This window comes from Homo sapiens, chromosome 16 (assembly GCF_000001405.40).
Source record: "Homo sapiens chromosome 16, GRCh38.p14 Primary Assembly".
Taxonomy (NCBI): domain Eukaryota; kingdom Metazoa; phylum Chordata; class Mammalia; order Primates; family Hominidae; genus Homo; species Homo sapiens.
The window spans coordinates 75,787,110-75,799,832 of NC_000016.10; the positions used below are offsets into that span (position 1 = coordinate 75,787,110).

A 12,723-nucleotide genomic window follows, 5' to 3' on the forward strand; every position below is an offset into this window, starting at 1 on the left:
AGTTTCATTTGTTATCTTTAAACTCACTAACCCTTTCTTCAATGTTTAATCTGCAGTTAATTTTATCCTGTGTATTTTTGATCTCACACCTTGTAGTTTTTATTTCTAGAAGCTCAATTTGGGTCTTTTTATATTGTCTATTTTTTTGCTTAAACTTTTTGTATGCATGGAATAGTTAAAATAACTTTTATTTTTCTCCTCAGCCAATTATAACATCTGTGTCTGTTATAAATTTTGATTGCTTGATGATTATTCTATGAGTTGTATTTTTCTGCTTCCTTACATTTTGGTGATTTTTGATTGGATGCCAAACATTGTGAGTTCTAATGTCTTTGTTGGATATTAGATATTTTGATATTCTTATAAATACTTATGGGCTCTGTTCTGGGATGCAGCTGAGTTACTTGGAAACAGTTTAAATAGTTTCAGTTCTTGCTTTTAAGATTTTTTAAAGGCAGAATCAAAGAAGTGCTCAGTCTAGGGTTAATTATTTCTTTCTACTGATGCATGAACTTTCTGTGTACTCTACTCAGTGTCTCATGAATCTGGAAGTTTCCATTTTGGCTGGAAGGGGCAGGTGCTCTTTTCCATCCTGTGTGAGCTCCAGGAACTGCAGCCCATCGTCTCAGGTGGTTCTTTTCCTGGCTTGAGTGGTTTACTCACACATATACTAATTATATTCATCTGAGTATTAGAAGGAGACCATCTGGAGCTCTCCAAATTTGTTCTCTTTGCAATTCTCTGCTTTCTGGTACTCTTTCCCTTCTATTCCAGCCACCTGGGCCTTCCTGGACTCTCAGCTCTGTCTTCTTCACTCTGGGAGTCCACTAGGCTTCCCCTGGGTTCCTTATCCTTGCACTGTGGCCTGGAATCTCTTTCAAGGCAGAAATCTGGGGACAGCTGTAGGGCTTACCGTCTTTGTTTCCAGTTTCACATGATCATTTACTGCCTGATGTCCAGTGTCTGGCAAACCACGGTGTCATATCTTTTGTCTGGTTTTTGTTTGTTTCTGGTGGAAAGGAACTCTGGTTTCCGTTATACCATCATGGCCAGAGCCTAATGTAAGGGCCAAGGGAAAGCTTCCTCTTTACCCTCTGAAGAGTCACTGAAAAATCATAACAAAGGGCAGAATAATAGTAGAAATGGCCTACAAATTTATTAGTGTGCAGGTGGGGAAAATTACAGAGTGATTATCGCAACCCTCTAATGGGCTACAGAAACTTATATATCACCTTGAGGTTATAAAAAGAATGGGGCCTCAGAGCATGGCCCAAAACTGGTTATGGTGGTGACATGGTTTGGATTTCTGTCCCTGCCCAAATCTCACGTGGAATTGTAATCCCCGATGTTGGAGGAGGGGTCTGGTAGGAGGTGATTGGATCATGGGGGTGGATTTTCCCCTTGCTAGTCTCGTGGTAGTGAGTGAGTTCTCATGAAATCTGATTGTTTAAAAGTGTGTAGCACCTCCCGCTTCGCTCTCTTCCTCCTGCTCTCACCATGTAGGACATGCCTGCTTCCCCTTCGCGTTCTGCCATGATTGTAAGTTTCCTGAGGCCTCCCCAGCCCTGCTTCCTGTACAGCCTGTAGAGCCACGAAGCCAATTAAACCTTTTTTCTTATTAAATTACCCAGTCTCAGGTAATGCAATGCAAGAACAGACTAATAGAGGTGGTAAAATAGGTTATAATAATAAGACAGATTATGGGAGGGAGAAAAGAGGAGGCCTGGCTAGCAAAGGTGGTCTCGTTATGTAGATGAAACCTCACAGGTATCGGCCCTCAGAAAGATTAGGTGGTATGTTTCTTGCAGACCTCTAAAGGTGTCAGACTCTCAGTTTATCTTTCCTCGATCCAGGCAAGGGAGAGTCTCAGAGAAACCTGGCTGCATCAAGGCAGATTCTCTGGCTTTTTTTCTAAAATAAATTTTTTATAAATAGAGACGGGGGTCTCCCTATGTTTCCCAGGCTGATCTCAAACTCCTGGGCTCAAGTGATCCTCCTGCCTCAGCCTCCCAAAGTGTTGAGATTACAGGTGTCAGCCACCACGCCTGCCTCAAGGCAGATTCTCTACAGATGCAAATCTCCTGACAAAAGACAGCCTTTTAGCCATGATGATATTTCAAGCCCCCTATGAATAGCCGTATATCTTGGGGTGAAATATTTTGGTTTCTTTCATTAAGGATCCTATTACGCATCTTTGAAATGGTGGTTAGGATTATTTTGAGTTACTGTGTTTTGCAATCCACCACTAGGTGGCAATGTTATACAGCTGAGATTCTTTTCAGTAAAGGAACCCTGCAAAGCATTTCTAGGTTATTCTAAGAGATACACGGAATTATATATTTGGTCTTGGTTTGGGTATAACAGTCTGTTTTATTGAGTTCCATTTTATTCCTATATCTGTTATTGTGGAATTTTTACTTCAGTGTAAAATTAGTAAAGTTATTTTGCCTAAAATAATACATGCTATAGATTGAAATGATTTATGGTATGTTCCTCACTATGGTCAGTAGTAGATATGATACACTCGTTAGGGAAACTTTTCACCTACAGGGGATTTAAATATATTTATGAGGGCAGTCATCGACATCCGTTTGTGTCTGGTTTGTAAGACCAGCCCAGAAAAGAATAAGATGTGTCTACTGCCTCTGGGGGCTTCTGTCCTTGTGAGGAGACACACAGGTGGACCACAGGCACAGTCCCAGGCTTGTGTGTGCTCTTCAACTGTCTGGGGTTGTCTAGAAGCTTCCCAGAGGAGGTGACCATTGAGCAGGGTTTAAAAGATGTGTAGAAATTTTCTACTTGAGAAAAGGGCAGATAGCAGTTCATGCCTAACAGTGCAGCAGAGAAAGAGACAGGGACTTAAGCATATCATAAGAAGATGACGAGAGTGGCAGGAAGTAAAAACAGGGACGTGGCCTCAAAATGCCTGGCACACTCCATGTGCTGCATGACCATTTCACATATAAATAGAGTAAGACTGCTAGGGTCCATCTCTGAAGATGATATTGCAGATCGAATTTCTTTCATATTTATTAATATAAAATAATGTCAGTTGGAGATATACAATTTTGCTCCTCACCGGTGGATCATCCTGTGCATATGGGGTAGACAGACCTCCTTGGAGACCCCGCATTAGATGACTCTGGCTGCGGCGGGGAGAGACTACAGGATGCGGGCAGCAGCGAGCACACAGTGACCAAATACAAGGTTCTTGCCCGTCGGTAAAGAATCGGAGCAAAGATCGGCTAGACTTAGATAAATAATTAGGTTGGGCTCAAAAGAACAAAATAAATTTCATCTCAGACACTTGTAAATTAGCAAAACAAATAAATTAAACATCATCATTATTATTATTTTTTGAGACAGAGTCTCGCTCTGTGCCTCAGGCTGGAGTGCGGTGGCGCCATCTCGGCTCACTGCAAGCTCCGCCTCCCGGGTTCACGCCATTCTCCTGCCTCAGCCTCCTGAGTAGCTGGGACTACAGGCGCCTGCCACCACGCCCGGCTAATTTTTTTGTATTTTTAGTAGAGACGGGGTTTCACCGTGTTAGCCAGGATGGTCTCGATCTCCTGACTTCGTGATCCGCCCGCCTCGGCCTCCCAAAGTGCTGGGATTACAGGCGTGAGCCACCGCGCCCGGCCAACAATTATTATTTAAAAAGTTCTGCATTCAAAAGTAATATTGGTTTAGAATTACCTCAAGGAGACAATTTCATGACTAATTCTACTGCCTAATTGTTAGAGAGGGTAAGATGGCTGAACTAACATGGACCTTCCCGGTGGCTCCGTGAGGACAGTCGGGAAATGACGTGCTCCTTGTGAATGGCTGAGAAAAAGCACCTGTGTGACATCTAATCATCCAGACCGGTGGTTCTCCAAGTGGGGTGGGGACTCCTGCAGGGCCTCACAATCCTTTCAGAGATTCTACAAAGTCAATACTATTTTAATAATAACAGCAAAATATTACCTGTCTTTTTGATTCTCACTCTACTATGAGTGTACAGTGGAGTTTTCCAGAAGCCATGTGGCGTGATATTGCAACTCACTGAATACAGGAGCAGAGAGAGAATCCAGCGGGTTTATATCAGTGTAGTAAAATAATTAAAAAAAAAAAAAGGAAAAGGAAAAGAGAATTCAGTGGATTGAGTTGACTGCAGGTGGGAGCATACTACAAACTAGTGAGTCCTTTTCTTCAACAAGGTTTATTGGGAGTCTTCAGGCAGCCTGTCCTTGGCCTCTAGAAGCCCATGGTCTGGTGGAACAGCCAGACCAGCTGAAACCCTTACGCTGAAGGTATGGAAATGCTACAGGGCTTGTACTGGGAATCTCAACCCAGGCTTAGAGGATGAAGACAGCTGCCTGGAAATGTTGTCATCTCGCCTGAGTTACGACAATGGAGTACCAGTGAGTGGAATAAAGCGGAAGAGAGAGTGTGGGGCAGAGGCCAGAAGACAGTTTGATGGAAGGTGGTAGGAGAAACTACACTGTATTTTTGAGATGGATAAGAGGGAACAGGACAGGACAGGAAGGCGACAGCTGTCCTTAGGTGGAGCCCATCTAGCTGTTGTTAGCGTCGGTCTCAAATACACAATAAGTTGGTCTCAAATATGCAATATGAGAAAAATCCAAGAGCAAAACCAAAACAACACATAAGGAACAAAGGTACGCTGGAACATTTGACCTATGTTATCTGCCCCAGTGATGTCGATGTTGCTGAAAAGACTGGAGTTGGCATTCATCTCTCCGTTTCTTTGCCCACCGGTTAGTCTTCCAGATGATCATGGCCACTTCACTCAAGAAACTGACTTTCCCAAATGTACCCAGAAGTGTGCCATGGTCTGCCTCAGTTTTGCAGTTACCTTTCTTCCAGGAAATTATAAATTACTCTTTATAAAAATCACATTGACAGGCGGGGCACGGTGGCTCACGTCTGTAATCCCAGCACTTTGGGAGGCCAAGGCGGGCAAATCACTTGAGGTCAGGAGTTCGAGACCAGCCTCCACCAATATGGAGAAACCCCATCTCTACTAAAAATACAAAAATTGCTGGGTGTGGTGGCGGGCGCCTGCAATCCCAGCTACTTGGGAGGCTGAGGCAGGAGAATCACTTGAACCTGGGAGGTGGAGGTTGCTGTGAGCTGACATCAAGCCATTGCACTCCAGCCTGGGCAACAAGAGCAAAACTCCATCTCAAAAAAAAACAAAAAAAAAAAGAAAAAAAAAGAAAAAAATCACATTGACTACATAAAAGACATAACACAAATTCAGTGAAGATTTGACAATTACTATCATGTAAAGTTCTAAAATAGATTTCTTTGGAGTCATGATTGTACATAACTTACACCTGGACCCATCTGCAGCTAACCTCCCACTCCCTGCAATTGCATATTGACCTTGTGAATTTGTTGATTGGAAAATTACATCCCTTTCCTTACCTCTGAGTGTGAGTGTGTTAGCAGCAGTTCAGTGGGATATTTCAGGATTCACAGTTCTTTAATTCTGTCTTCCGGACAAACTCCAAATTGTTTTTTATGTCATAGTGAAATATCAGAACTATGGCCAGTCTTTAGCTGACTACATTTTGAAAGCTGAAATAGGATAGAGCTACTGTGTGTGTAAAGGAACGGCCACCAGGTATAATGGGAGACTTTTTAAAAGCAGTCCCCGGTGTAAGCCCGATGTGAGTTGGATGTTTTTATTGGTACACTGATTCCTTAGGTGGCCTTCAAACATCTATTCCTGGACTCTTCCATGTTTTCCTGGTGCTCTCAGCATAGGCGCTCCACTGGTCTTAGAAGCTGCAGGACTGCCTGATGGGCTGGCTGCCTCTGTGCACTTCAGTGAGCCATTGTAAATAAATAGTCCTGCCCCGTCACTTCCATTTTCGTGATTCAACTGTATTGTTTCCACAGCATTTATCAGTGTCTGAAATGATCTTACTCACTTCTGCTGTGTTTATTTTCTGTCTCCCTTCACCAAAATGTAAAGCTGCTTGAGGTCAGGGGTCTTGCCTTTCTTGTTCATCATTGTGTCAACAATGCCCAGATAGGACCTGGCACAAATGGAGGGATCAATACAAAATCATTGACCATGTGCATAAATGAACGTGCATCATAGCACCTGATGGCACACCCATTGTCATCATCATCAATGTCAAGAAGCATTTATTAAGCAGTACCACAGTGTTGCACAACCCCAGGGGGCTCTGTCTGCATAGCACAGGACCAGGCCCTACGGAAAACAGATGGAAGCCAAGAAGGACCTGATCAAATATAAATTTGTCATCAAAGTTGCTCCTGGATAATATGTCAGTGGATTCCCTTATATTTGAAATCATTTTATAATAAGGATCTCTAGGTAGTTCAGTGAATAAACACCTCTGGATTCCCCACAGAGCCACCTTAAACAGAATGCAAACACTGCTCTCCAGTAAACAGCATTAGAGGCAAAGGGCTCACTAGCCTTTCCTTTGGAAGATTTCATAATCACAGCAAGAGACTTTCTGCCCAGAAACAAGTACATATACAAAGTAATTCTTTTATTAAATTGGGATTAAATGCTATCTAAAACTAATTTAGAGAGAGAGTTCCATTTAATTGACTGATTTGGGTAGGATAAAATGGTAATAATTGTTTTACATGGTATTTAAATTTCATTACTTGAGTTTCTTATTGCTTCTTTTCACGTGAGAATTACCTTTGCAAATACGACATAATAGAAAGCTTTTCAAAAAGCTTTTACTTGCATTTTCTCTCGGAGTGTATTGGTGTTGTATTCAGGGATTGGAGGCTCATAAGAGCATAATGAGAAGATGAATGCACCTCAACCTTAGAGGTGTCTCCAGTTACTGACTTTGTTCTTTCCCTCAGGCTGAATGAGGTGAATATAGAACGTCTTGCAGTTGAATAATTTGGCTGCTTTCAGGCAAGAATTTTTGTGATGTTATAAAAATTGAGATCTAAAAGGAAACTTAACCTTCAGTTCATTCTTTTGATGTATTTTGCCTGAAGCATGGTGCTAGGACCTGTTATCTCAAATAGGCAATATAAAAATATCTTTCTAATTCACTCCTACAGTTGAAAGATCCTCATGGATTGAAATTACTGTGATCTATCAAAATTCACTATGTTGTGGAAATAAAATAAAATCACATGTCAGACGAGGAATGATGACAACAATGGACCGGCTTATTATGAAGCTTAAAATGAAAATGCTTTATCGGCAACAGTATTGGATTCTTGAAAGATGGAAAATATGTGTCAAAATCAGAGAAGCCACATTAGTGATATGGCTGGTTTGTCCCATGCTTTTGGAATCGGTAGCAATATTTGGTTTAATTGTATGTCTTTTTAAAAATCAGAAGATAATTCACACCATAAAATTCACCATTTTAAAGTGTACAATTCAGTGGGTTTGGATAGATTCGTAAGGTTGTGCAACCATCATGACTATCAAGTTCTGGAATATTTTCACCCACTCTCAAAAAGAGGAAGCCATGATTGTGCTGTCTGTCTTTAAGGATTTGTTTATTCTGGACTTTTCATTTAAACTGAGTCAAATGGTATGTGTTCCTTTATGTGTGGCTACTTTCACTTCATGTTTTTAAGGTTCATCTATGTTGTAGCATGTATCAGCATTTCGTGTTTCTAAATAACAGAACACTATGCTATTGTCTAAGTGTCCTACATTTTATTTACGTGTTCATAAGTTGATAGACGTTTGTTTTGTTTCCACTTTTTGGCTACTGTGAATGTGTGCAAATTTTTGTGTGAATGAACACATGTTTTCCTTTCTCTTGAGTATATCTAGGAGTGGAAATGCTGAATCGTATGGTAACTCTGTTTACCTTTTTGAATAATAGCCAAACTGTTTCTCACAGCAGCTGTGCAATTTTACCTCTCCACCTGCAATGTATGAGGGGTTCCAGCTTCTCTACATCCTTACAACACTTGTTATTTTCCATTTTCAAAATGATAGTCATTTTAGTAGATATAAATGGGTACCTTATTAAAAAATAAATAAATAAATAAATGGGTACCTTATTGTGGCTTTGATTTTTATTTCTCTAGTGACTAAGGAAGGATGTTGAGCAGTTTCTCAATTGAGTATTTGCTATATCTATCTATCTATCTATCTATCTATCTATCTATCCATCCATCCATCCATCCATCCATCTAATGTCCATTTGAACTCTGTCTCATTTTTTTATTTGGGTTATTTGTCTTTTTTAAATTTTAAATTTTTGTGGGTACATAGGAGGTATAAATATTTGTGGAATATATGAGATATTTTGATACAAGCATTCAATGTGTCATAATCGCATCAGGGAAAATGAGATATCCATTGCCTCAAGCATTTTTCCTTTGTGTTACAAACAATCCAATTATACTTTTTTAGTTATTTAAAAATGTACAATTAAATTCTTTTTTGTCTATAGTCACCCTGTTGTGCTGGCAAACACTAGGTCTTATTCATTCTTTCTATTTTTTGTACCCATTAACCATACCCACTACCCCACCCTGTCCCCCACTACCTTTCCTAGCCTCTGGTAACCATCCTTCTACTCTCTATCTCCATGAGTTCAATTATTTTAATTTTTTTTTTTTTTTGAGACAGAGTCTTGCTCTATCACCCAGGCTGGAGTGCAGTGGCCCCATCTGGGCTCACTGCAAGCTCTGCCTCCCGGGTTCACGCCATTCTCCTACCTCAGCCTCCTGAGTAGCTGGGACTACAGGTGCCCGCCACCGTGCCCGGCTAATTTTTTGTATTTTTAGTAGAGACGGGGTTTCACCGTGTTAGCCAGGATGGTCTCGATCTCCTGACCTCGTGATCCGCCCACCTTGGCCTCCCAAAGTGCTGCGATTACAGGCTTGAGCCACCGCGCCTGGCACAATTGTTTCAATTTTTAAGTCCCACAAATAAGTGAGAACATGTGAAGTTAGTCTTTCTGTGCTTGACTTATTTCGCTTAGCATAATGACCTCCAGTTCCATCCATGTTGTTGCAAACGACAAGATCCTATTATTTTTTGTGGCTGAATAGTACTCCATTGTGTACATGTACCATATTTTCTTTATCCATTTGTCTGTTGATGGACACTTAGGCTGCTTCCAGATCTTGGCTATTGTGAACAGTGTTGGAAAAAACATGGAAGTGCAGATATCTCTTGGATATACTGATTTCCTTTCTTTTGGCTGTGTACTTAGGATGGGATGGTTGAGTCGTATGGTAGTTCTATATTTAGTTTTTTTTGAGAACCTTCAAATTGTTCTCCATAGTGGTTCCATAATTTACATTCCCACCAACAGTGTACGAGGGTTCCCGTTTCTCCTTATCCTCTCTGTTATTTGTTATTGCCTATGTTTTGGACATAAGCTTTTTTAACTGGGGTGATATGATATCTCATTGTATTTTGATTTGCATTTCTCTGATCATTAGTGACGTCGAGCACTTTTTCATAAACCTGTTTGTCATTTGTATATCTTCTTTTGAGAAATGTGTATTCAGATCTGTTGCCCATTTTAAAATGGGGTTATTCAATTTTTTCCTATAGGATTGTTTGAATTCCTTATATATTCTGTTTATTAATCCCTTGTCAGAGGAGGTAGTTTGCAAATATTTTCTCCCATTCTGTGGGTTGTCTCTTCACTTTGTTGCTTGTTTCTTTTGCTGTGTAGAGGCTTTTTAACTTGATGTGATCCTATGTGTCCATTTTTGCTTTGGTTGCCTGTGCTTTTGGGATATTAACCAATAAATCTTTGCCCAGTCCAATGTTCTGGAGGGTTTCCCTAATATTTCCTTTTAGTTGTTTCATAGTTCAAGGTCTGAGGTTTAAGTCTTTAATCCATTTGGATTTGATTTTTGTATAAGATGAGAGGTAGGTGTCTAGTTTCATTTTTTTCTATGGATATCCAGCTTTCCCAGCACCATTTATGGAAGAGACTATTGTTTCCCCAATGTATTTTCTTAGCACCTTTGTCAAAAATGAGTTCACTGTAGATGTATGGATTTATTTCTGGGTTCTCTATTTTGCTTCACTGGTCTATGTGTCAGTTTTTATGCCAATACAGTGCTGTTATGGTTACTGTAGCTCCGTAGTATAATTTGAAGTCAGGTCATGTGATTCCTGCAGTTTTGTTCTTTTTGCTTAGGATAGTTTTGGCTATTCTGGGTCTTTTTTGGTTCCATATATATTTTAGGATTGCTTTTTCTATTTCCGTGAAGAATGTCATTGGTATTTTGATAGGGGTTGCATTGAATCTGTAGATTGCTTTGGGAAGTATGGGCATTTTAACAATATTGATTCCTCCAATCCATGAACACGGAATGTCTTTCAATTTTTTTATGTCCTCTTCAATTTCTTGCATCAATGTTTCATAGTTTTCATTGTAAAGATATTTCACTTCTTTGGTTAATTCCTGGGTATTTTATTTTATTTGTAGCTATTGTAAATGGGATTACTTCCTTGAATTTTTTTTCAGATTTTTCACTGTTGGCATATAGAAATGCTACTGATGTTTATATGTTGATTTTGTATCCTGCAACTTTCCTGAATTTGTTTATCAGCTCTAATTTTTTTTGGTGGAGTCTTTAGTTTTTTCCAAATATAAGATCATTTCATCTCCAAACAAGGATAATTTGACTTCTTCCTTTCTAATTTGGATACTGTTTATTTCTTTCTCTTATTTGATTGTGCTATAGCTAGGACTTCCAATTATTTGTGTTTTTGTTATTGAATTTTAAAGGTTATTCACATATTCCAGATACTATACCTTTATTAAATACATAATTTGCAAATATCTCCTCCCATTCTGTAGATTGCATTTTTTAAATGGTATCCTTTTCTCTCTCTGGTACCAGAATGCAGGGTGTTGGTTTCCAAGGCTGCTGCTGGTGAGGTGGACAGTGGAGGATGATAATAGGGTAAGTTAAAGACACCAAAAACTTTATGTTTTTATGACAATTTAGCCAGTTTTTTTTTTTTTTGGGAATAAATACTCCTTGGGTTGCTACAAATCATTGGTTAATTTCTAGAGTTTTGAAAAAGTTTTCTGATAATTTTTGTCAGGTTTTTTCATTGTTTTATGAGGGGTAGTTAAATCTGTGGAGGTTCTAATTCTGACATTTTCACTGCCGTCACCTCAACCATGTCTTATATTGCAGTGGGATGACAATCTTGGGTGTATGCTTTGCCTTTCTTTTTTTCATATAGGCTATGTCATCATGTGGATGCCATGGAAAGATGGACTCAAGCCTCTTTTAAGTTCATCATCACAAACTGAGTTTTTTTGTTGGGTACCATCCCCTCTACTTTTATAATTTATAAATCTAGGGAGCTTATAGCAACTTAGAGATTGGTCAATGAATTTTCCCCTTTGTTTTACACAAGAGAAAACTGGCACCCCTTTTGCAAAGTGAAGTGAATTGCTCAGTTCCTTCCTATAGTTGGTAGTAGAAGCGGGAGGAGAATTGAGCTCTAATAGAAACACTCAGTCCAAATACTTCTCTGCAAATTTCCAGAGTCTCATCACTCAGCTTTCTATACACATTTTCTCTTTTTGTTTGGGTATGTATGCCAGTCCCTGTGACTTTAGAAATGATGAGATATTATAAGGCCCATGCACAGCCCCACAATTATTCTCACGAACTCGGTTTTAATGTTGGTATGATTTGGGTATTATAAAAATTCATGGTCCTCAAGAAGCAGCCAGCAGTTTACCTATGGTAGCAGATACATTTTTGTCTAGCTTTCCCCATTTATTATTTGCATCATGCTTGATCAGACGGCCTCAAGAACAGCTTCTGCATAGTGAAAGAGAAAACAATGGTTTGAAAATGAAAGTTTAGTGCTAAAATGTAGCCATATGAATGTTCTTTGGAAGCACTTGTTTTTAAGGACCTTGGGGACATTCTCTGGTTGGTGTTTGTGTTAGTTTGCCAAAGCTGCATGGAAAAGTACTACGGATTGGGTGGCTTAAACAACAGAAATGTATCTTCTTATAATTCTGGAGGGTAAAATCCAAGATCAAGGTGTCAGCAGGTTTTTTTTTTTTTTTTTTTTTTTTTTTTTTTTTTTTTTTTTTTTGAGGCCTTCCTCTTTGGCTTGTAGATGCTGTCTTCTCAATGTATCTTTACATGGTCTTCCCTCTGTAACTGTCTGTCTCCTAATAGGCTCTTCTTATGAGGACACCAGTCACATGGGATTAGGGCCCACCTCAATGACTGCATTTTACTTAACTACCCCTGTTAAAGGCTCTCACTTTCCAAATATACTTACATTCTGCAGTATTGGGGGTTAGAACTTCAACATATAAATTTTGGGGGGACACACTTCAGCTCATAACAGTGTTAGAATGGGAAATGTTTATGAATCAATATTTACAAAATGGATAAGGAGGCTAGCAAAGCAAACACATAATCTCTCTGCTCAGACTCATCACACATCCTACCTGTGAGAGCCAATTGTTAAATAGTCAAGAAGTTTCCAAGATTAAGCCATGAAAACCAGCAATAGCTACATTGCTAATTTCAATCACCACCCTCACACTGAAAGCTAGGTTTCTTCTCTCTCTCTCTCTTTTTTTGTTTTTGAGACAGTCTTGCTCTGTCACCCAGGCTGGAGTGCAGTGAAGCAATCTTGGTGGCTCACTGCAACCTCTGCCTCCTGGGTTCAAGTGATTCTTCTGCCTCAGTCTCAAGAGCAGCTGGGATTACAGGCCCCCACCA

General features: G+C 39.7%; 1 long non-coding RNA gene across 2 annotated transcripts in view; it reads left to right on the top strand.

Annotated features, from left to right (window-relative positions):
* Positions 1–12,723, top strand: part of LOC105371348 (uncharacterized) — a 154,623-nt gene that overhangs the window by 27,060 nt on the left and 114,840 nt on the right. For both annotated transcript variants that reach the window (XR_933748.4, XR_001752255.1), the window contains exon 3: positions 10,858–10,920. This is a non-coding gene — a long non-coding RNA (uncharacterized LOC105371348). The remainder of the gene's footprint in view (positions 1–10,857; positions 10,921–12,723) is intronic.